Source organism: Homo sapiens, chromosome 9, assembly GCF_000001405.40.
Source record: "Homo sapiens chromosome 9, GRCh38.p14 Primary Assembly".
Classification (NCBI taxonomy): domain Eukaryota; kingdom Metazoa; phylum Chordata; class Mammalia; order Primates; family Hominidae; genus Homo; species Homo sapiens.
In genome coordinates this window covers 132321088-132346876 of record NC_000009.12, presented here as the reverse complement: position 1 = coordinate 132346876, position 25789 = coordinate 132321088, and the positions used below count along the sequence as shown (strand labels likewise).

Genomic DNA, 25789 nt, shown 5'->3' with positions numbered 1-25789 from the left:
CTCAAGTGATCCTTTTGCTTCAGCCTCCAGAGAAGCTAGGACTGTAGGCATGCACCACACCTAGCTAATTTTTCTATTTTTTTTTTTTTTAGTGACAGGGTCTTGCTTTGCTACCCAGGCTGGTCTCGAACTCCTGACCTGAAACAGTCCTCCTACCTCAGCCTTCCAAAATGCTGGGATTACAGCTGTGAGCCACTGTGCCTAGCCAATATCTCATACTCTGTGTACTCACTTTTCATAAAAGTGGCCACATTTGAATAGTTTTCTTTAAATCTAAAATACAAGCTCTAATACTTTACATTTCAGAATTTTTGTACTTAGGAAAAGGCTTTCTAGGTCGTCACATTCAGTGTATTTTGTTGATGATAAGACATAACGCACACTGCCCATTTTATTTTCCTCTAGGTTTTATGGGAATTAGAAACCTTACGTCTCATAAATCACTTTGAAAAATCCATGAAGGCAGAAATTGGAGATGATGATGAGTTATATATAGTAGACAATAATGGAGAGATGCCACTGTTTGACATCACTGGGCAAGACTTTGAAAATAAGCTTCGAGTTCCTCTTCTTGAAATACTGAAATATCCTTACTTGCTTCTACATGAACGTGTTAGTGAGTATCTTGATGGTTCCTCAAGTTATATCAGTTTTATTATTTTAGTACCATAAGAATTTAGGCTTATCTATATTGCAAATTTGTTTGCTAAACATATAATTAGGATATATAATTAGGACTTCATTTTTTTTCCAACGTTTTTTATTTTTTGAGTTCAAACACAAAATACCTATTTTTGGGGCACAGTTCAAACTTATCTTGTTCAGAGGGTAACTGAAGATTGTTTTTATTTTTTTTTAGAGACAGGGTCTTGCTGTGTCTCCTAGGCCGAAGTGCAGTGGCGCAGTCATGGCCCACTGCAGCCTCTACCTCCTGGGCTCAAGTAATACTCCTGCCTGAGCCTTGTGGGTAGCTGGGAGTACAGGCGTGTGCCATTGCGTCCAGCTAATTTTATGTTGTGTTTATTGTAGAGATGAAGTTTCACTGTTGCCCAGGCTGGTGTTGAACTCCTGGGCTCAAGCAGTCCTCCCACCTCAGCTTCCCAAATTGCTGGGATTATAGGCACGAGCCACTATGCCTGGCTCTCAACATTTTATTGTGAAAATTTTTTAACATAGAAAAGTAAATTATACAGTGAACATGATATACCCATCACATAGTTTATACGGTTGTTAACATTTTGCTATATTTGCTTTATTACGTATCTGTTCACCTCTTTGTTCAATTATTAATAATTTTCATTCTCGCCGGGCATGGTGGCTCACGCCTGTAATCCCATCATTTTGGGAGGCTGAGGCAGGCAGAGCACCTGAGGTCAGGAGTTCAAGACCAGCCTTGCTAACATAGTGAAACCCTGTCTCTACTAAAAATACAAAAATTAGCCAGGTGTGGTGGCAGGCACCTGTAATCCCAGCTACTCAGGAGGCTGAGGCAGGAGAATCACTTGAACCTGGAAGGCGGAGGTTGCAGTGAACCAAGATTGTGCCACTGCACTCCAGCCTGGGTGACAGACAGAGACTCTGTCTTAAAAAATAGTAATAATAATAATTTTCATTCTTGTAGTATGTCTGTGGCAGGGTTTCTCAGCCTTGCATTGGTGACATTTTGGATAATCCTTTGCTGTGGGCTGTGCCGTCCATTGTAGGATGTGTAGCAGCATCCCTGGCCTTTGTCTACTAAATGCCGCTAGCACTCCCTATCTCCTTTGTGACAACCAAAAATGTCTCCAGACATTGCTGAATACCCCTTTTGGGGGGTGAGGTATAAAATCACCCCTGGTTGGGAAATGCTATTCTGTAGTAATTTTCATTAACCACTATGGCATGGCTTATTATAGCTGTCTAGATTTTGGTTGTTGATATTTGCATTTCATAATACGAATCTCTTGAAAGTAAAGGCATTTCCCTAACCTATCAAATCTAACAATACCTTTTTTTTTTTTTTTTTTTAAAGAGTCTCACTGTCGCCCAGGCTGGAGTGCAGTGGCAGGATCTTGGCTCACTGCACCCTCTGCCTCCTGGGTTCAAGCGATTCTCCTGCCTCAGCCTCCTGAGTAGCTGGGATTACAGGCGCCTGCCACTACACCTGGCTAATTTTTTGTATTTTTAGTAGAGACAGGTTTTGCCATGTTGGCCAGGCTAGTCTCAAGCTCCTGACCTCAAGTGATCCGCCCACCTCGGCCTCCTAAAGTGCTGAGATTACAGGTGTAAGCCAGCGTGCCTGGCCCAAAATAACGATACTAAAATCTAGTTCATTTTCATATTTTCCCAATAGTTGCAAAATGTGTTTTTGGCTGATTTGCTTAAATTAGAATCTAGTCAGGGACCACACATTGCATTTGGTACATAGTTCTTCCAGCTCTTTTAATTCAAAACAGTCTTCTCACCCTCGGCAGTGTAGCAACACCCTCCCTCCCCCATCTCTACAAAAAAGAAAATTTAACTGGATATAGTGGCATGTGCCTGTATTCCTAGGTACTCAGGAGGCTGAGGTGGGAGGATCATTCGAGCCCAGGAGGTTGAGCCTGAGGTGAGCCATGAGCACACCACTGTACTTCATTCTGGGCAACAGCGCAAGACCCTGTCTCTAAAAAACCCAAAAACCATCTTAAGTTGACCCTTGAACTGTGCAGATCCAGTCATACATGGATCTTTTTTCAACCAAAGTGGAATCAAAAATACCATATTTATGGGTTGCAAAACCCGCTTCTCTGGAGGGTCGACTTTAGGTATACGCTGATTTCTCAGGGCCAACTGCAGGACTCAGCTGTGTGTGGATTTTGGTATCCTGGAACCAAACCCCTGCACGTGCCAACTATGTTCGTACGGAAACCAACATGTGCCCTCATCTTTTTTTTGGCCATGAGTTTGACTTGTTGAGGGAGGCCATATATTTGCCCTGTAGGATAACATACTTTATGGATTTTTCTGATTTATTTCCTGTACTGTTTGTCTAAACCAATAAATTCAAAGTAACTAGATTTGAAAATTCTAAGACTTCTTCAAGTATTAAAGAATAATCTATCCGTAAAAGTATATAAGCCTGATGTTTTTTTGCAAGTCAAACAGATTTGTGTAGCCAGCATCCAGATCAAAAATCGAAACATTATCAACATCCTAGGAGTGCCCTTCATGCTTTTCTACTCATTATGCCTCCCCATCCCTAAAGCCAACCACTGTCACTAATGAAAAAACTATGATATTGAAAATGTAATATGAAAAAACGACAATATTTTTTGAAATTTTACAGCTAAAGTTGATTCATCTGAAAGGGTAAATGGATTGTTCAATAAATGGGAGTGGGATAGCTAGTAACTTAGGGGTAAAGCTGACTTTATTCCTTGTTTTTGTATCAGATAAAGTCTAGGTGGATCAAAACATAAGATACAAATGGAGTTGGACCTATAACCATATGGTTACAGGTCCTTTATACATTCCCTATGGAGATAATTATCCTAAGTGTGAATAAAGAGCTACATTCTTTTTTTTGTTGTTGTTTTGAGATGGAGTTTTGCTCTTGTTGCCTAGGCTGGAGTGTAATGGCATGATCTCAGCTCACTGCAACCTCCACCTCCTGGGTTCAAGCGATTCTCCTGCCTCAGCCTTCCGAGTAGCTGGGACTACAGGTGCCCACCACCACGCCCGGCTAATTTTTTGTATTTTTAGTAGAGACGGGGTTTCACCGTGTTAGCCAGGATGTTCTCGATCTCCTGACCTTGTGATCCGCCCGCCTCGGCCTCCCAAAGTGCTGGGATTACAGGTGTGAGCCACCGCGCCCGGCAAAAAAGGGATCTATTCTAATAAGGTCAGAATAATTTCTAAGAACACCCTGTGATCAACGGATTTAGCCTGTCAGGTAAATATTGTTCCTGCATTTACAATATAAGCATTTTTATGCCTCAATTTGGAAAAATAAAAAGCAAATTTTTATTTATTTACAGAATAGCCCAAGGAGCCTAATTTAGGGAATCTTGATAAGGTGATAAGATTTATGTATTTTACTTATTTTTTTCTTTTTAGACGAGTTATGTGTTGAAGCACTTTGTCGGATGGAACAAGCCAATTGCTCCTTTCAGGTGTTTGATAAACATCCAGGGATCTATTTGTTTTTAGTCCATCCCAATGAAATGGTGAGTGTGAGTGTTGGGCGATAGAAGGGTATATTGTGCTTTTGTACCTATAGATAGCTATAATAGCGGTTTTTGGTGTGGATTTTGTTTAAAATGTTTGCTAAAATTTTTCTTGCTTTAAAATTTACTACAGTTAAGTAGAGGGCGCTCTGGGGTCAAAGAAGAGGGGATCTCAGAGGGTAGGGGATACTTACCGACAGGTGATGCTTGATCTTAAAAGACAAACGGGAATAACTTGATGTCCTTTCAGTATGTTGAATTGAACTCAAGAAGACCTCTTCTCTTGACTTTCTCACCTGCTTGACCCACTGCAGACACATGGAGATACCGGTTAAAACATTTGAAAAGTTATTTTGCTGATAGATTAGAATTAAAACAAGGGAAGGTAGGGAGGGAGACTGGGAAATTCTGGTGCTAGAGATGAAGAAGGACAAAATCCAGAACAGTGAGCAGGAACAGAAGCAGATAGCATTGAAACCTGACATAGCCCTTTGGCTAAGGTTTGAGATCTTGTCACCTTTTGTGGTAAGACAGTCTGTGCTTCAGGTCTCATGCCTAATGCCACCTAGAACTGAGTGACTACATTAAGCCAGTAGCCAGGAAGGGCTACTCTGCCAATGTAAGGCAAGAAAAATTACGTTTTTTAAAAAAAGCATGGTAATGGGATTGCCAGTCAAGATGATGGTGAATTTCAGTTTCCTCTGGGCCAAACACATACCAATGATATTAAAAAAAAGCAAAAGGAGGAAATTAAAGGGGTATAATCACATTCCTCCAAAGGAAAACTTATTTCTGTGGACCAGCAATGGAACAGAAACATGAAGTAATAAATGAGTGGAAACCTGGCCTGGGTGGCGGTGGGTAGCTCGGGATTCAGCTTGTGCAGGACAACAGGAATTAGAAGTATACTCCAGGCAAGGCAAAGAACCAAAGCCAAACTCTGCACTCCAAACAAGGGGCGGATGGGGGTGCTTCTTTGCCTGTGAAAGAAGGTTGCCAAAGTATTAAAAAGGTTCACTGGCTTTTTAAAAGCTGTTTACATATGGAGGAAGCAGGTCTGGTCTTGTAACCAGTGCCTGGGCGAAGCACTTGCAGCCTTGGTGACTGAGTCTGCCTAGCCCTTATGTAACCAAAGGTTGGGAGCCCTGAGCTGCTGATAGTAGACCTAGTTCTGGAGCAGGACTCTCAAGGATGGATAGAAAGCAGCCCAAATTTATATTTAGGAAGGGGAGGGGTAGTGGTAGGAGGGACACAGAATTCCTCCCTGTCGGATGAGCTTGCAAACCAAATCCCTGAAACACACGAGGAAAGCGCATGCTCTGACAGAACAAAGACCAGCACTGTTGGTCCTTTCTCTAGGTTTAACTCTAGAGGAACTTGAAAGAGAAAATGGAGAACATTGAGAGAAACTCTGAGTTGACAAGGGCTGGTTTATTAAAAAAAATTTTTTTTATTATTATATTTTATTTTTTGAGACAGAGTCTTGCTCTGTTGCCCACGCCGGAAGTAGAGACAGGGTTTCACCAGGTTGGCCAGGCTGGTCTCAAACTCCTAACCTCAAATGATGCACCCACCCCGGCCTCCCAAAGTGCTGAGATAACAGGTGTGAGCCACCACGTCCAGCCGACAAGGGCTGTTTTGAAAGGTGAATGTGGGAGATGGGGAGGAGAACATCCTTAGTTTGTGAATTCCTTTTCACTCTGGGGTATTGGGTCCTATCTGGCAGTGCCTGTGGGAGGCACTATGGAATTACCTCTCAGAGCATTCTCCCACAGCCAGAGAATAAAATGGGCTGTGGGAGAATAAAGTAGAAAAGGAACTGTTAAGGTTCTGCTTCCAGTTCTCCCTCATCATTGCCTTAGATGAATAAAACCTGCATCCAAATCTGTTCTCAACTAAAAGATCTGATCCAGGTGAAGGTAGGAATGAAATCAGCACAGTGGATAACCCCTAATATTTGTGAGGCACTGAGACAAGCAGGTGGAGACCAATTAACCACTGATAATTGCTTCATTATCATCCCCTCTTAACCCCAGGACTTGGGGGATTACAGCCCAGTAGTGTCTTCTAATGCTGCTTCTGCCCGGGAGTAAAGGGTGACGACCTGACTTAGAAAACTAAAATGCGTGGCAGTGAGTGAGTACGTTTTTCTGGCTTGGATTTTATCCATCACTCAGCCCTGAATTGATTGGGCATAAGCCAGTCTGGAGTCTGGCCTTCCATAGGCACCGCCTGATAGGAGCCAGTACCCCAGAGTGAAAAGGAATTCACAAACTAAAAATAATAGACATATGAGAAACATGAAGATTTCAGTAGAAGCAGATATATTAGGACACTTGTCCAGTAAATTTAAAATTATTATAGTAAACATGCTAGAAGAAATACGGGAAGATACTAATGTGAAATGAGAACTAGAAAACGTGAGAACCAACAAACCTACACATTGTGCACATGGACCCTAGAACTTAAAGTATAATTAAAAAAAAGAAAGAAAATGTGAGAACCAAGCCAAGTTGTTGTAACATTGAAAAATGAGATATTTAAAATAAAGGCTTCAGAAGATGGGATAGATAATACAGTGGGTACAGCCAAGAGAATGAGTGACTGTATTAGAAGACCAGAATGAGCAAATCCCTAAGAAGAAAAAGAGAAATAGAAAATATAAAAAGAAAAGCTAAAAGATAAATGGAGGGTAGAAGTAGTAGTGTTAACAAAGATGTAAGACGTCCCAGAAAGAGAAAAATAAAAATCAGGACAAAGAAATACCGGAGATATGGCTGGGCACGGTGACTCATTCCTGTAATCCCAGCACTTTGGGAGGCTGAGGTGGGCGGATCACCTGAGGCCAGGAGTTTGAGACCAGCCTGGCCAACATGATGAAACCCTGTCTCTACTAATAATACAAAAAAATTAGGCAGGTGTGGTGGTGTGTGCCTGTAGTCCCAGCTACCTGGGAGGCTGAGGCAGGAGAATTGCTTGAACCCGGGATGCAGGGGTTGCAGTGAGCCGAGATTGCAACATTGAACTCCAGCCTGGGCAACAAGAGCAAAACTCCATCTCACAAAAGGAAAGTTGTACTATATGGAAAGAGAGGTTAGATCCCTACCTTATTATCATTCATAATGACAAAATCTATCTAAAAAACCATAGTTAGGTTCAGTTTTCAAACTCTTTGCAGGAAATAGAGGTGTACAGCATTTAGATTGTAAGGTGAGGAAAGATTTGTTTTATTTTTTTGAGACAGGGTCTTGCTCTGTCACCCAGGCTGGAGTGCAGTGGCGTGATGACAGCTCACTGTAATCTCTGCCTCCCAGGCTCAGGCATTTCACCAAAATCTCCTTCCTCGGTCACCATGCCCAGCTAATTTTTTGTAGAGATGGGGTTTCACTGTGTTGCCCAGGCTGGGTTCGAACTCCTGGGCTCAAGTGCCCCCATACCTCAGCCTCCCAAAGTGTTGAGATTACATGCATGAGCCACCATGCCTGGCCTGAGGAAGGGTTTTATAGAAACGAAAGCATTGATTATGAAAGGAAAGTTGATGAACTTGACTATATTAAAATGAAAAGTTATTGTTTATCAAAAAATACCATAAAGAGAGTGAAAATACTAGTTAAAAATTGGGAAAAGGGCTGGGCATGGTCGCTCATGCTCGAAAGCCCAGGCCTTTGGGAAGCCAGGGTTGGAGGATTGTTTGAAGCCAAGAATTCAAGACCAGCCTGAGCAACATAGCAAGAACCTATCCCTACAAAAAAATTTTTTTTTTAATTAGCTTGGCATAACGTTGCACACCTGTAGCCCTAGCTACTCAGGAGGCTAAGGTGGGAGGATCACTTGAGCCCAGGAGGTTGAGGCTGCAGTGAACCCTGATCTGCCAGTGCACTCCAACCTGGGCAACAGAGTGAGACTCTTTCTCAAAAAAATAAAGTAAAAAATTGAAGATAATCATATTACTAACAATACAAAAAATATGGATGAAGATCTGAACAGGCATGTCCCAGAACAGAAGAGGAACTACCAATAGCTAATAAATATATGAAGGAATGTTTTCTATTTAATGATCAGGGAAATAATAAGACCACAATGATATACCATTTTATTTTTGTGTGATAGCCTGAGAATACAATTTTGGAGAGGTCATGCATTTGCAAAACCTCTAGTTATTGCTGGTAAAAGGTCTTATTTAGCTGTCACGTCCATTTAGTCCTCTTTAATCTGGAACATTTCATTGTCTTACATGAAAATTACTTTTCTGAAGAATACAGTCATTCCTGCTCTGCCTCTTTTTAAAAAAATAAGTGAGGCTGGGCACGGTGGCTCATGCCTGTAATCCCAGCACTATGGGAGGCCGAGGTGGGTGGATCATGAGGTCAGGAGTTCGAGACCAGCCTGGCCAGCATGGTGAAACCCCGTCTCTACTAAAAATAACAAAAGTTAGCCGGGCGTGGTGGTGCACCCTTGTAATCCCAGCTACTTAGGAGGCTCAGGTAGGACAATGACTTGACCCCAGGAGGCAGAGGTTGCAGTGAGCCGAGATGGTGCCACTGCATGCCAGCCTGGGCGATAGAGTAAGACTCTGTCTCAAAAAAAAAAAAAAAAAAAGAGTGTTCCTCACTTTGGGTTTGTCTGATGTTTCCTCATGCATAGATTCAGGTTACACATTCCCAGCTGGAGTACCATGTAAGTGATGTTACTGTCCTTCTCAGCTTGTCATATGTAGACAGAGGCACGCCATATCCTTTGCAACTCATGGTGATGTTAATTTTGAGCATTCGGTGAAGGTGCTGTCCCATTTCTCTGCTGTGTAATTTCTATTGTTTAGATACTTTAAGACCATGTAAATACTATGCATTTCATCAAGATCTCCTAAATTTAGCATTCATTAATGTGTCTTGCCTGAACTATGGTGATTGCAAGATGGTCATTTCCTAACTCCAGCACTCTCCATGTTTACTATTTACCACTTGACATTGATTGTACAGTAATCAAGAGTCTTTTCCCCTTCTACCACTTATTATCAGTAAGGTCTCATGGATTCCAAAACTTTTTCAGTAGTTTATAATTTGTTGCTTATGTTGGCATAGAGCTCATGCTTTTACCTGTGGGGTCTGTGTTTTTCCAACTTTTTGATTACAATCTGTAGTAAAAAATGTTTTCCTTGTGTATGCATATGCCTATATAATGTATTTTGTAAAATAATACTTTTACTATGAAGGATGCACTCTTGATATTTTTCTGTTCTTGTTTTTTTTTTTTAAGGTTGGTTGTGAGCACTAAATTTAATTCATAGTCTCCAAGAAATTTAAAATCACTTCTTTATGCTATTCTGCCATTTAGAAATGCCCTTTGATTTCTTTTGAGATTCCTCATTTTGTGTTTTCTTTCCTTTTTTGGACATTCTGTTATGGAAAATGATAAACATAAAAGTAGCAAGAATGGTGTAATGAATCCCCCATAATCCATCAGTTAGCTTTATCAATACATGGTCAACATTCCACTCCCCTTTAGATTAGTTTAGAGCAAATCTTAGATATCAGAGCATTTCATCCACAAAATATTTCAGTATGTATTTCTAAAAGATAAAGACTTAAAAAAAACGAAAAATATTATTATATATATATTTTTTGAGATGGAGTCTTACTCTTGTCGCCCAGGCTGGAGTGCAGTGGTAGGATCTTGGCTCACTGCAACCTTTCCCCACCAGGTTCAAACAATTCTCCTGCCTCAGCCTCCCAAGTAGCTGGGACTACAGGAGTGCACCACCAAGTCCAGCTAATTTTTTTGTATTTTTAGTAGAGACAAGGTTTTGCCAAGTTGGCGAGGCTGGTCTTGAACTCCTGACCTCAGGTGATCTGCCCGCCTCAGCCTCCCAAAGTACTGAAATTACAGGTGTGAGCCACTGCACCCAGCCAGAAAAATACTATTATTGCATCTAAAAGAATAATTACTTAATGTTGTCTTGCCAGTCAGTGTTTGAATGAATGGAAATGATTGTCTAAAACTGTTTATTAGGGGTTAGTATGTTCAAATCAGGATCAAATAAGGTCCACACATTGCATTAATTAATATGTCACATGTCTTTTAAAATATGCAGAGAATCCTGTTTTCTTTTCTGTGTTCTTGCTGTTTGTAGACCATTGTTTATTGAATTAAGTAATAAATATATTCTGCATTTAGGTTCGGCGTTGGGCTATCTTGACTGCAAGAAACTTGGGGAAAGTGGACAGAGATGATTATTATGACTTACAAGAAGTTTTACTTTGCCTTTTTAAAGTCATTGAGTTGGGGCTTTTAGAGAGTCCAGACATTTATACTTCTTCTGTCCTAGAGAAGGGTAAACTGATTCTTCTGCCCTCACACATGTATGATACTACCAACTACAAAAGCTATTGGTTAGGTGAGTATTATTCCTACACTAATATAATTGGTATTTTCGTATAGTTCTGTTTTTTGAGACAGTCTCACTCTGTTGCCCAGGCTGGAGTGCAGTGGCACCATCTCCACTCACCGCAAGCTCCACCTCCCAGGTTCAAGCAATTCTCCTGCCTTAGCCTCCCGAGTAGCTGTGATTACAGGCAAACGCCACCACACCTGGCTAATTTTTTGTATTTTTAGTAGAGACGGGGTTTCACCATGTTGGCCAGGCTGGTCTTGAACTCCTGACATCAAGTGATCTGCCCACCCTGGCCTCCTAAAGTGCTGGGATTACAGGCGTGAGCTACCGCGCCCGGCCCTGTAGTTCCTATGAGGGTCCTAAAAGGGAAGTGTTCTCTTTGGTGATCTGATGAAACTTACTGAAGATAGGATTTTATAGTTCTCAGTTCTTATTCTGTCATTAAGTTGACTTAACTATTACATATCTTGTTATTAAACAGTATTTATATCCTAGAAACTTTTCTGTAGTAAGCAGTACATTTTCAAGCACTGGCAAATGAATCGAATCTTGTTTACGGCCACATTTTATTAACAAAATATTAGTGTAATAGTTGGCTTTAAATAGGATTTGATTGTTAATACTCCTTTTTCAGTGTGTAAAATATTTCCTGGTAGAACTGGGCATGGTGGTGCACGCCTGTAGTCCCAGCATCTTGGGAGGCTGAGGCAGGAGGAACATTTAAGCCCAGGAATTTGAAGCTGCAGTGAGCTAGGATTGTGCTACTGCACTCCAGCCTGGGTGACAGAGGGAGATCCTGTCTCCTAAAAAAAAAAAAATTAAATTTTCCTGGTAGAAAGAGTTGACAGCATTGTTTACAAGTCCTATTGTGGCTCAAAATACTTTTTTTTTTTTTTTTTTTTTTTTTTGAGACGGAGTCTTGCTCTGTCGCCCAGGCTGGAGTGCAGTCGCGCGATCTCGGCTCACTGCAAGATCCGCCTCCTGGGTTCACGCCATTCTCCTGCCTCAGCCTCCCGAGTAGCTGGGACCACAGGCGCCTGCCACCACGCCTGGCTAATTTTTTTGTATTTTTAGTAGAGACGGGGTTTCACCATGTTAGCCAGGATGGTCTCGATCTCCTGACTTTGTGATCTGCCCGCCTTGGCCTCCCAAAGTGCTGGGATTACAGGTGTGAGCCACCACGCCCGGCCTCAAAATACTTCTATACCATTTCCTTGATTCCAAATCTTAAGGTCACGTGTCATAAATGGCAGTGATTTTTTTTTTCTTTCTTAGTGGTATATGGAATATGGTACATCTTAAAATTGAAGGCATCTTATATTGGTGAGATACAAGTTACATGGTAGTTATGTTAGAAATTGTTTTCTAACCATCTTGTACTTTCACACTTGAATTAGTCTAGAGTTCTATTACTTGGGAGCAGTTGTGTATGAATATCTGAGACTTAAATGTTTGAGAAACTAAATACTATCTTGCTTCATCTTCCTGCCTTGTTATTCTTTTGCAAACTAAACCAGGCATTAGTATAGTATTATTTCATCAATTCAAGATAACTCTAAATGATCTTACAGGTATTTGCATGTTGCTGACCATTCTTGAGGAACAAGCCATGGATTCCCTGTTGTTGGGCTCAGACAAACAAAATGATTTTATGCAATCGATACTTCACACTATGGAGAGGGAAGCAGATGGTAATAAACTTTACTTGCTGAATGTTGTTGAATATAGTGATGATGATGCACTTTAAAAATGATAGTGTCACTGCAGGAATTGGTGTATGTTGTGGAGAAAAGAATTTTTCTGGTTTAGTAATAGATTCAGACTTTTTATTTTGTTTTGTTTTGTTTTTTGATACGAAGTCATACTCTTGTTGCCCAGGCTGGAGTGCAATGGTGCGATGTCAGCTCACTGCAACCTCCACCTCCTGGGTTCAAGAAATTCCCCTGTCTCAGCCTCCCAAGTAGCTGGGACTACAGGCGTGCACCACCACGCCCAGCTAATTTTTTTGTATTTTTAGTAGAGACGGGGTTTCACCACGTTGGTCAGGCTGGTCTTGAACTCTTGATCTCAGGTGATCTGCCTGCCTTGGCCTCCCAAAGTGCTGGGATTACAGGCATGAGACTTTTAAATCAGAAAGGACCTTTATAATTTAATTCAATACCTTCCTTTCATAGAAGAAGGGAAGTTAATCTACTTTTTCATGATGAAAAAGTTGGTGGTAGGATGAACATCAGAACCTCTGGGAGACCCATTTGTAATGACATTGTGGTTAACATTGTGGGGTAAGCCTTCTCTGTCCCATGGCCTCCCTTTGCCTGCCTCTTTGTTTCTCTGTGGTTCTCTAATACAGTAACTGCCAGCCACATGTGATTATTAAAATAAATTTAAGTCAATTAAAATTAAAAATGCAGTTATTTGGTCCCACTAGTCATATTTCAAGGCTCAATGGCCACACGTGCCTGTACTCTATCCTGTACTGTATTGAACAATGCAGAGACAGAAGATTTCCATCATCACAGAACATTCTCTTGGATATGCTGCTCCAGATAGTCTAGATAATGAGGCCTAAAACTTGTAGTCATGTTTATTATTAGATCCTGACCTCCTTTTGCTGATGCTTGTATCATGCTAATCATGAAGGATCTGTAATTAAATAAGTGCTTCTAATCTTTAGGAAGTAATGAATTAATAAAGACCAAGTATACCAGATCCTATGAGAAAACATAATGAGTATAATTTTTTCCCCTCATTCTCTTCATGCAACTTGAATGTTGTATATAAACTCATTTGTGGGAGATTCTAATATAAATATATTAATGTTATTCTTTTGTTGATAGGGCGTGTGTGTGTGTGTGTGTGTGTGTGTGTGTGTGTGTGTGTGTATATATATTTTTTTTTTTCTTTTTTTTTTTTTTCTTTTTGAGACCAAGTCTTTCTCTCTCACCCAGGCTGGAGTGCAGTGGTGCGATCTTGGCTAACTGCAGCCTCTGCCTCTGGGTTCAAGCGATTCTCCTGCCTTAGCCTCCCAAGTAGCTGGGATTACAGGTATGCACCACCATACCTGGCTAATTTTTGTATTTTTAGTAGAGATGGTGTTTCACTATGTTTTCCAGGCTGGTCTTGAACTCCTGGTCTCATGTGATCCGCCTGCCTTGGCCTCTCAAAGTGTTGGGATTACAAGCATGAGCCACCACGCCCGGCCTTTGGCATATATTTTCTTGCTAGATTATGTCTGAGGCTATTACTCTTTTGCCAACATTTACTGCATAAATTGTTCATTTCTTTCCCTGTGCCTAACTACATGTATAATTCTGTCCTTTCTGTTAAGCTAGCTCCCTTAACCATCTTAAAAAAAAACAAACACCTTTTTTTTTTTTTTTCTTTTGAGACAGGATCTCACTATCACCCACCCTGGAGTGGCTCAATCAGGTCTCACTGCAGCCTTAACCTCCCAGGCTCAAGTCATCCTCCTGCCTCTGACTCCCTAGTAACTGGGGCCACAGGCATGTGCCATCTTACCCAGCTAATTTTTAAATTTTTGCTAGAGACAAAGTCTCACTATGGGTGTAGGCTGGTCTTGAACTCCTGACCTCAAGCAGTCCTCCTGCCTCGGCCTCCCAAAGTGTTGGGATTTACTGGTGTGAGCCACTGAACCCAGCCTTGTCTTCAAAATTTTAATTACCTCTTTGAGAAACTTTTCATAATTGTCTTCATCTAACTACTTTGTTTCTTGTGAGCTTATTAGACACAGGCACTGTTTCAGATGCAGTGGAGGATACAAACATATATAAGAAAGTTCAAATGACTGTGGTAAAGTCTGAGAAGTATGAGGGAAGTAAAGTCACAAGTTCTAGGATGACGTAGCAATAGCAGTGACTGCGTGAATTCAAGCACTTGCCTCAGAAGAGTACTGTAGATGACTGAAGTGGGGGAATGTTTAATATAGGAGGAGGCATTTAAGCTGGACTTTTAAGGATGGATAGGATTTTGATATGTTGTGCTAGAATTGAGGGCATTCTAGTGCTTATTTTGGAAAAAGCCAGTGATCTATTTGTGCTGTAGATAGTGTATGATTATAGGAATATGAAAAATAAAAATGGAAATAAACAGTAGATCAATATCTTTTAAGTTCTTGACTGAGGATTTTGAATTTTCTTGGAAGACATTAAGTATCCATTGAAGGTCTTTGAGTAGGGCGGTATCTTGCTACTGCATATTTGATAGAGAAGCAGGAGGTTGGATGAAAAGTAGAGAACAGCAAAGCCATGTTGAGATACAGATGGATGAAGAGTGTATCTTTGCCTTATTCCTTAGCTAAAGAATTTAGTCATTTACACTAGATGCGTGACACAAAATTCAGGATGATGCTGAAAGAGAATTTCTTGTATTATGGGCTTCATGTAGATCTGTAAATACCAAGTTTCTTTCTCTTTCCTTTATTTTTTTCCTCTTCTTTTCTGTTAGTTATTGGAGGATGGGACTACAAAGTTTTGGCAGGGGTTGAGGAGCTGAATTAGAAAAGGTTGTTTCTGGTATGGCAAACAGGGTGTGAAAAGATTGTGCTTACCTAGACTGTTTTCTTGCCCATTAAGTAATTTGTTTGCCACTAAATTTTTTTTTTTTTTTACAGACGTATCATAGTATTGCTTGCAAAAAATCTTGAAAATGTGGCTGCTTTTGAAACCCTCTGTGTGTCTGAGGACTGGTGGCGGCACTGCTTTAAATTATTTGCTCCTTGGCTTTTAGTTGGGTTGCTACTCACCAGATAAAGAATATGCTTAATTCTCAATATATTGTAGTATGTTTTTCTAACTGTTTAGTAATTCAACGATTGTGCCATTGTATTTCAGATGATAGTGTGGATCCTTTCTGGCCAGCGTTACACTGTTTTATGGTGATTCTGGATCGCCTTGGATCTAAGGTCTGGGGTCAACTTATGGATCCTATTGTGGCATTTCAAACCATTATCAACAACGCAAGCTACAATAGAGAGATCCGACATATACGGAACAGCTCTGTAAGGTTAGTTCAGCTAATGTCAGGATTTAAACATCATCTCTATAAGAAAGTGTGTTCCAGCTAGATTACTTAACAAGAGGTGTTTCTTCCTTTTTTTCCCCCTTCGTTTCAGTAATTTCTATTTATTCTTAATATTTAAGGACCAAGTTAGAACCGGAGTCCTATTTGGATGATATGGTGACTTGCAGCCAGATCGTATACAATTATAATCCTGAAAAGACCAAAAAGGTATAAAACACTTTGAAAATTCAGATGCTATTTTATTGCCTTTATATTGTGTAGACTATTTTGTATAATTTGTTGAGTTGCAGATTTTGTGATATGTAGCTGTTCTCAATCTACTGCTATGTAAAAGCCCTTCTCATTGAACAGCAGATGTATTGTGTGTTGGGGAAGATGGACTCTAACTACAGTATGCATACTTTGGAAAATTAACTTATAAGTACATTTAGGGAAGATGGAAAGTTTATGGGGACATACATGGCATGACTAGAAATCAAAACTAGCTAGTGGACAGAAGGTGAGAGTACATAAAGGTGTTACCAATTTGTCTTTTTATGAAAACTCAAAATTCAATTTATATTTTCACTTTCTTGGGAGTTAGGTGTATTACGATTGTGATATAATTATATGCCACAATTATACCATTGTATAGCATAATAATGATGTGGTAAACCAAAATAAGAGAGTTGAGAAACGTATTTTTCTTAACGACTTGGGTGTTGAACCTGTCATAAGTGGTGCTTATTTATCTGAACATCAGCATTTCTTTCATTTTAGGATTCTGGATGGAGAACAGCCATTTGCCCAGATTATTGTCCTAACATGTATGAAGAAATGGAAACATTAGCCAGTGTACTTCAGTCAGATATTGGTCAAGACATGCGTGTTCATAACAGCACATTTCTATGGTTCATCCCTTTTGTCCAGTCCCTCATGGATCTTAAGGATTTGGGTGTGGCTTACATAGCACAGGTTGTTAATCATCTGTACTCTGAAGTCAAAGAAGTCCTCAACCAAACAGATGCTGTGTGTGACAAAGTCACTGAATTTTTTCTTCTAATTTTGGTATCAGTGATTGAACTGCATAGAAATAAAAAATGTTTGCATTTGCTGTGGGTAAGTTCCCAGCAATGGGTGGAAGCCGTCGTCAAATGTGCCAAGCTTCCTACCACTGCGTTTACACGGAGTTCTGAGAAATCATCTGGAAATTGCTCCAAAGGAACAGCAATGATATCTTCACTGTCATTGCATTCCATGCCATCTAACTCTGTACAACTTGCTTATGTGCAGCTGATTAGAAGTCTCCTTAAAGAAGGTTATCAGCTTGGGCAGCAGTCTCTTTGCAAGCGATTCTGGGATAAGCTCAACTTATTCCTTAGAGGAAATTTATCTCTAGGTTGGCAGTTGACTAGTCAGGAAACCCATGAGCTACAAAGTTGCTTAAAGCAAATTATTAGAAACATAAAATTCAAAGCACCTCCATGTAACACTTTTGTGGATCTGACTTCTGCATGTAAAATCTCTCCTGCATCTTATAATAAAGAAGAAAGTGAACAAATGGGGAAGACGTCTAGAAAAGATATGCATTGTTTGGAAGCTTCCAGCCCAACATTTTCTAAAGAACCAATGAAAGTGCAAGACAGTGTATTGATCAAAGCAGATAACACTATAGAAGGTGACAATAATGAGCAAAATTATATAAAGGATGTGAAACTAGAGGACCATCTCTTAGCTGGGTCATGCTTAAAGCAGAGTAGTAAAAACATTTTTACTGAAAGAGCTGAAGATCAAATTAAAATAAGTACAAGGAAGCAGAAGTCTGTAAAAGAGATCTCTTCATATACACCAAAGGACTGTACTTCAAGAAATGGTCCAGAAAGGGGATGTGACAGAGGAATAATAGTATCAACACGTTTGTTGACTGATTCTAGCACTGATGCTTTGGAAAAAGTGTCCACATCGAATGAAGATTTCTCTTTAAAGGATGATGCTCTTGCTAAAACCTCAAAACGAAAAACTAAGGTACAGAAAGATGAAATCTGTGCAAAGTTATCACATGTAATAAAGAAGCAACACAGGAAGAGTACTTTGGTCGATAATACTATCAATTTAGATGAAAATTTGACTGTATCTAACATTGAGAGTTTCTATTCAAGGAAAGATACAGGAGTTCAGAAAGGAGATGGTTTCATACACAATCTTTCTTTAGACCCTAGTGGTGTTCTGGATGATAAGAATGGAGAACAAAAATCTCAAAACAATGTATTGCCAAAAGAGAAACAATTAAAGAATGAAGAATTAGTTATTTTCTCTTTCCATGAAAACAATTGTAAAATACAGGAATTTCATGTTGATGGTAAAGAATTGATCCCTTTTACAGAAATGACCAATGCTTCAGAGAAGAAATCATCTCCCTTTAAAGATCTTATGACTGTACCTGAATCAAGAGATGAGGAGATGAGTAATAGTACCAGTGTGATTTATTCTAACTTGACAAGAGAACAGGCCCCTGACATCAGTCCTAAATCTGACACCTTAACGGATTCTCAGATAGACAGAGACCTTCACAAATTATCTTTACTAGCTCAAGCCAGTGTTATTACGTTCCCATCCGATTCACCTCAGAACTCATCGCAGCTGCAAAGGAAAGTAAAAGAAGATAAAAGATGTTTCACAGCTAACCAAAATAATGTTGGAGATACCTCCCGTGGACAGGTTATTATTATTTCAGATTCTGATGATGATGATGATGAAAGAATCCTGAGTCTTGAGAAACTCACTAAACAGGACAAAATATGCCTTGAGAGGGAACATCCAGAGCAGCACGTTTCAACAGTTAATAGTAAGGAGGAAAAGAATCCAGTAAAGGAAGAAAAGACAGAGACTCTTTTTCAGTTTGAGGAATCTGATTCTCAGTGTTTTGAGTTTGAAAGTTCATCTGAAGTGTTTTCAGTTTGGCAAGATCATCCAGACGATAATAATTCAGTTCAAGATGGTGAGAAAAAATGTTTGGCTCCTATAGCCAATACTACAAATGGTCAGGGTTGTACAGATTATGTATCTGAAGTTGTTAAAAAAGGAGCAGAGGGCATTGAAGAACACACAAGACCACGGAGTATTTCTGTTGAAGAATTTTGTGAAATTGAAGTAAAAAAGCCTAAGAGAAAACGATCTGAAAAACCAATGGCTGAAGATCCTGTGAGGCCTTCATCTTCTGTCAGAAATGAGGGCCAGTCTGATACTAATAAGAGAGATCTTGTGGGAAATGATTTTAAAAGTATTGATAGAAGGACTTCAACTCCCAATTCACGTATTCAGAGAGCCACTACGGTTTCACAAAAGAAGTCTTCAAAGCTTTGTACTTGTACAGAACCCATCAGGAAAGTTCCAGTTTCTAAGACCCCTAAGAAAACTCATTCAGATGCCAAAAAAGGACAGAATAGAAGTTCAAATTACCTAAGTTGTAGAACAACTCCTGCTATAGTGCCGCCAAAGAAATTTCGTCAGTGTCCTGAGCCAACTTCAACAGCTGAGAAACTTGGCCTGAAAAAGGGTCCTCGTAAGGCATATGAGTTGTCCCAGCGGTCTTTGGATTATGTAGCTCAATTACGTGATCATGGCAAAACTGTTGGAGTAGTTGATACCCGAAAAAAGACTAAATTAATTTCTCCTCAGAACCTGTCTGTCAGAAATAATAAGAAACTTCTGACTAGTCAAGAACTTCAGATGCAAAGGCAGATCAGACCCAAATCACAAAAAAATAGACGAAGACTTTCTGATTGTGAAAGTACAGATGTTAAAAGAGCAGGGTCACATACAGCACAGAATTCTGACATATTTGTACCAGAATCTGATAGGTCAGATTATAATTGTACAGGAGGAACTGAGGTACTTGCCAACAGTAACAGAAAACAGTTAATAAAATGCATGCCTTCTGAACCAGAAACCATAAAAGCAAAACATGGGTCTCCAGCAACTGATGATGCTTGCCCTTTGAACCAGTGTGATTCTGTAGTGTTAAATGGAACAGTACCAACAAATGAAGTAATTGTCTCCACTTCAGAAGACCCTCTGGGTGGAGGTGATCCAACAGCACGTCATATAGAGATGGCAGCTTTGAAAGAAGGAGAGCCTGACTCCAGCAGTGATGCAGAGGAAGATAACTTATTTTTAACCCAAAATGATCCTGAAGATATGGATTTATGTTCACAAATGGAGAATGACAATTATAAACTCATTGAACTAATTCATGGAAAAGATACAGTTGAGGTTGAAGAAGATTCTGTAAGTCGGCCTCAGTTGGAATCTTTGAGTGGCACAAAGTGTAAGTACAAAGATTGTCTTGAAACCACAAAAAACCAGGGTGAATACTGCCCAAAACACTCTGAAGTGAAAGCAGCAGATGAAGATGTATTTCGTAAACCTGGCTTGCCTCCTCCTGCATCTAAACCTTTGAGACCTACCACTAAGATTTTTAGCTCAAAGAGTACTTCACGAATTGCTGGTCTTTCTAAATCTTTGGAAACTTCTTCAGCACTTTCACCGTCTCTAAAAAATAAGTCAAAGGGGATACAGTCGATTTTGAAAGTACCACAGCCAGTTCCCCTCATAGCTCAGAAGCCAGTTGGTGAAATGAAGAATTCGTGCAATGTTCTTCATCCTCAGTCTCCGAATAATTCCAACAGGCAAGGTTGCAAAGTTCCATTTGGTGAAAGCAAATATTTTCCATCTTCCTCTCCAGTAAACATTCTTTTGTCATCACAGTCTGTCTCTGACACCTTCGTTAAAGAGGTCTTAAAATGGAAATATGAAATGTTTTTGAACTTTGGTCAGTGTGGGCCCCCTGCAAGTCTTTGTCAGTCCATCTCAAGACCTGTGCCTGTCAGATTTCACAATTATGGAGATTATTTTAATGTTTTTTTCCCTTTGATGGTATTGAATACTTTTGAAACAGTAAGTATGTGTTTCATTTGTATGCCTCTCCAAACTTTTCAAGTTACCTCTTTACCTTGCTGAGTGAAAATGAGAGTATAGTTCAAAAAATCAGCCAGGCGTGGTTGCGGGCACCTGTAATCCCAGCTACTCGGGAGGCTGAGGCAGAGAATTGCTTAAACCCAGGAGGCGGAGGTTGCAGTGAGCCGAGGTCGCGCCACTGCACTCCAACCTGGGCGGCAGAGTGAGACTCTGTCTCAAAAGAAAAAACAAAAAAAAGTATAGTTAAATTAAAATTGACCGTTTCGATTTAGATACTGGTTTTAGATTTCATGTTGAACAGACATTTGTGCCAGCCACTGTTTTAGATACTGGCAATACAGAGGAAACACTTTTTTTTTTTTTTTTTTTTAGGTGGAGTTTTGCTCTTGCTGCCCAGGCTGGAGTGCAATGGTGCGATCTTTGCTCACTGCAACCTTCTGCCTCCCAGGTTCAAGTGATTCTCCTGCCTCAGCCTCCCAAGTAGCTGAGATTACAGGCCTGCGCCACCAGGCCTCACTAATTTTGTATTTTTAGTAGAGAAGGGGTTTCACCATGTTGGTCAGGCTGGTCTTGAACTTCTGATTCTGACCTCAGGTGATCCACCAGCCTCGGCCTCCCAAAGTGCTGGGATTACGGGCATGAGCCACTGTGCCTGGCTGGAAACTCTGCTCCTTGGAGCTGATAGACACAACTCAGGGTGCTAATATACCAAGTGCAGAGGTAACACAGAAGGAAATGTTTATTGACGCACGGGTAAAGGAAGACTTCTCAGAGGAGATAGTTTCCCATGTGCATTTGTTTTGTTTTTAAGTAAGAGACCTCTGCTGTAGTTTTCTTGAGGAGGTGGCAAAGGGTGAATTACATTGAACACAAAGTAATGAATCCTAAATTTCCCTACACGTCAGACTTCCCAGTTTCTTTCTTTCTTTTTTCTTTTTTCTTTTTTTTGAGACGAGTCTCGCTCTGTCGCCCAGGCTGGAGTGCAGTGGTGCAATCTCGGCTCACTGCAAGCTCTGCCTCCCGGGTTCAGGCTGTTCTCCTGCCTCAGCCTCCCGAGTAGCTGAGACTATAGGCTCTCGCCACCACGGCCGGCTAATTTTTTGTATTTTTAGTAGAGATGGGGTTTCACCATGTTAGCCAGGATGGTCTCAATCTCCTGACCTTGTGATCTGCCCGCCTTGGCCTCCCAAAGTGCTGGGATTACAGGCGTGAGCCACTGCGTCTGGCCGCCAGTTTCTTACTCATCACAGCAGCTGCTCTGTGTAACAGCCTCCCCAACCCCAGCACATCCTATTCTGGTTCTTCTCTCCTCCTTACTCAAGTAGAGTTGACAAACGATAAGATTCCCGTTAAAATTTGAGAAAAACATCAAATAATTCTTTAGTGTAAGCATTCAACTGCGTTTAGAAGGATTTTTGTGTGTGTGTTTTCAAGGCAGGTAAGAAGTGGGAGCAAATTTTTAGTTAATCCTCAAAAGAAACTTTCGTGTATACAGTAATACTCTTAAAACCAACAATGTTGAGGTAAATAGTCATGGTTCATTAGCTTGATAGATATTTGAGTGCCTAGTATGTGCCAAGTGCTCTTACAAGCATGGGAGATAAAGTGGTGAACAAGACAGGTGTGAGGTCTCTGCTCTCTGGAAGTGACCATTTGGGATTGAGATAAGGACTCTAGTATGATCTAGAACAAAGGGGACAGGGCACTTTCTGGAGAGATCAGATAACCTCTATGAGCAGATGATATTTACACTGAGACCCAAGTGACTAGGAGTTAACTGTGGGAAGTATGTTACAGGCAGAGTGGAGTGCAAAGACAGTCTGGTAACAAGATTGGAGTGTTGGGGAAGGAAGTGTAATGTACAAAGGGACAAGTCTACTACAAAAGAAGAGAAGTGAGTTGTTAACACTGTACATGGCAAGATAAATGGCTTTTATAAAGCTTGAGTGAACGTATCTTCATCAATGTACTTTATGTTAAATCTTTTGATCAATTCGTACCTCAAATTTTAGCCATTTTTGAGAGTTGCTTTATTATTTTTTTTTCCTAAGGTACTTTTGTTTTAGCAGGAGTTGCTTTATTTTCGCTGGAAAGCACTAAATTGCTTAGAAGCCATTCATAACCCTATGAAGGGTAGACACTTACTTTCATTTCCTGAGTTAAAAGATATTTATTAAGATTTATTTCCTTCAGGACATTTTTGTAGTCTCAGCTTTTTAAAAACAGAATGAGCACAAGTTCCATTTGTACATATACAGAGTTTAAAATAGTCAAAGATTTCTATCTGGCCCATTATAAAGAACATCAGGCACCCCTCATCCCCTCAAGTAACTATTTTCTATTCTTAATGAGTCCTTTGGAAATTTCTTTCCATTTTTATCTTTTTTTTTTCTTTTTTGGAGACAGGGTCTCACTCCTGTCCCCCAGGCTGGAGTACAGTGGCACAATTATGGCTCACTGCAGCCTCAACCTCTTGGCCTCTGGTAGTCCTTCCACCACAGCCTCTTGAATAACTGGGACTACAGGCTCACACCATAATGTCCAGCTAATTTTTGTATTTTTAGTAGAGGCAGAGTTTTTCCCATGTTGCCTAGGCTGGTCTCAAACTACTGGGCTCAAGTGATCCACCTGCCTTTGCCTCTCAAAGTGCTACGATTACAGGCGTGAGCCATCCCGCCTGGCCTTCCTTCCATATTTCTGAATAACATGTCCATATTGTAACTCCTTGATTTTTCAGTTTTAGGCGTTTCTGTTTCCTGCTTCAGGAACTACCCCCATTTCCAGCCCAACCCTTGCACACACTCTTCCTGTTCCCTCACCCTCATTATGGGATTGTCTTGAAATTTTTAGATCCATTTTTGTTATTTTGACTATGTGAAAGATATCTTCAGCTAAGCCATGTAGTATGCTGTAATTGCCTTTCCATTTCCTTCCAAACTCTGTGTTTTCCTTGGATTTATTGTTTTATATGTTTATTTAATTTTCTACTTATCACTAAATTAATGCCAGGATGTCTTTTCTTGAATGTTTAAATCGCTCATGATCAGGTACGTTAGTTAATCTATAAATTTGTTCTGTGTGTGGTGCATGATGATATTCCTGAAATAGTAGTCCTTATCCTTGGGTTGGGTCTGTATCTCCTCCACCCCCGTCATCTTTCTTGGTTACTCATGTTAGCGAGGCCTGTCCTTCAGGCTTCCAGAGAAGAGGATATATGAGAGGTACATTTTTGAAATCTTGCATGTCTTAGAATTTCTTTAATCTTCTCATTTTCTTTAATTTTTTCTATCTTTCATCTCATTTTCTTTTTGTTATCCTTTCTTGGAGGCCACCTCAACTTTTCTCCTAAGTCCGTTGAATCCTTTTTAGCGTATTTTTAGTTTCCTGGAACTCTTGTTCTCTGAATAGTCCTTTATTCTATTTCATGGATGTGGTATTTTTTATTAGCTAAAGTTTATGATAATTTTAAAGTTAGCTAAAAGTTTTTCTCTTTTTGCATGGTTCGTGTTTCCCCAGTTGGTTTTTCCTGTTCATTTTAGTGTTTATAGTCCTTTCTGTTAATTCCTTTTTTCAGGTGGTAATGATTTCTGGTGGTCTACTCACATTTAAGAACAGGAAACTAAAGAGTAGATTGGAACATTATTCATGGTAGCCAAAAAGTGGAAACAACCCAAATGTGTGTCAGTTGATGAATGGATAAACAGGTCTGTTCATACAATGAATGGAATATTATTCAGCCATAAAAAGAAGTGAAGATCTGTGTTCACTAATGAACCTTGAAAACATTGTGCTAAGTGAAATAAGTCAGGGACAGAAGGTCACATATTATATGATTCCGTTCATATGTATTGTCCAGAATAGGCAAATCTGTAGAGACAGAAAGATGAGTAGTAGTCAGGGGAAGGAAGGAGGGGGGAATTGGGATTGCTGATAGGTACAGTGTTTCTTTTGGGGTGATGGAAATGGTGCGGAATTAGGTAGTGGTGATGGTTGCACAGCATAGTAAATAAAACCATAGTACTAAAAACCACTGAGACGTACACTTTAAAATGGTGAGTTTTATGTTGTATGAAATACCGTCTCCATTTAAAAAATATTACTTTAAAAAGAGAATAAATTTGATTAGCAATAGGTTAAAAAAGATGCCTAGGAAAACATGAAATCTTCAGATACTTTTACAAAAACGAGCCTCTTTATGGTTGCACTCTGGAAGGCAAACGTGATCTGAAGGGCGCCATAGCAGGGTAAAACCCAGCATTAGTTTCATTCTTCATGGTAAGGTTTTGTGCTTAGGTGCAGTTATAATCTGTATTTTGTTATATATATAAAAGATGAAAACACCAGAAGCTCTGAGTGAAAGGGTGGGCTTGTTGACCATTGGCACTTCATTAGGAAGCCCCACCCCACCATTATGTCAATCAATGTCTTTTTTTCTTTTTCTTTTTCTTTTTTCTTCAGACGGAGTCTCACTCTGTTGCCCAGGCTGGAGTGCAGTGGCACGATCTCGGCTCACCGCAACCTCTGCCTCTTGGGTTCAAGCATTTCTCCTGTCTCAGCCTCCTGAGTAGCTGGGACTACAGGTGCACACCACCACACCCGGCTAATTTTTGTGGGTTTTTTTTTTTGTAGTTTTTTTTTTTTTTTTTTTGAGACAGTATCGCTCTGTTGCCCAGGCTGGAGTGCAGTGGCATGATCTCAGCTCACTGCAAGCTCCGCCTCCTGGGTTCATGCCATTCTCCTGCCTCAGCCTCCCAAGTAGCTGGGACTATAGGTGCCTGCCACCATGCCTGGCTAATTTTTTGTATTTTTTAGTAGAGACGGGGTTTCACCATGTTGGCCAGGATGGTCTCGATCTCCTGACATCTTGATCCACCCACCTCGGCCTTCCAAAGTGCTGGGATTACAGGTGTGAGCTACCGCGCCCAGCCCTAAGTTTTGTGTTTTTAGTAGAGGTGGGGTTTTGCCATATTGGTCAGGCTGGTCTCAAACTCCTGACCTCAGGTGATCCACCCGCCTTGGCCTCCCAAAGTGCTGGGATTACAGGCGTGAGCCACCGCGCCCGGCCTCCCAATGTCTTTAGTCTTTATTTTTCCTGTCAGGTCTCAGTTCCCAAAAAAGAATCGTCACATATTTTACCTGGGAAATGTAGGCGTGGCAGGGAGCTGAGTGTGGGAAGAGGGCTGGGTAGGAGTGGGGGACGGAGGAGAGGTGTTGG

At 40.4% G+C, this 25789-nt stretch overlaps 1 protein-coding gene across 13 annotated transcripts in view; it reads left to right on the top strand.

Moving 5' to 3' along the window:
* The window catches only part of SETX (senataxin), a 95389-nt gene that overhangs the window by 9868 nt on the left and 59732 nt on the right, over positions 1–25789 (top strand). For 11 of the 13 annotated variants that reach the window (XM_005272172.4, XM_011518404.4, NM_015046.7 and 8 more), the window contains 7 exons: positions 406–616; positions 4078–4187; positions 10362–10581; positions 12150–12269; positions 15429–15600; positions 15738–15825; positions 16378–20553. In XM_005272172.4, coding sequence (XP_005272229.1) covers positions 406–616; positions 4078–4187; positions 10362–10581; positions 12150–12269; positions 15429–15600; positions 15738–15825; positions 16378–20553 — 5097 coding nt within the window. The remainder of the gene's footprint in view (positions 1–405; positions 617–4077; positions 4188–10361; positions 10582–12149; positions 12270–15428; positions 15601–15737; positions 15826–16377; positions 20554–25789) is intronic. The other 2 variants (XM_047423025.1, XM_047423024.1) reach the window with 2 other exon arrangements.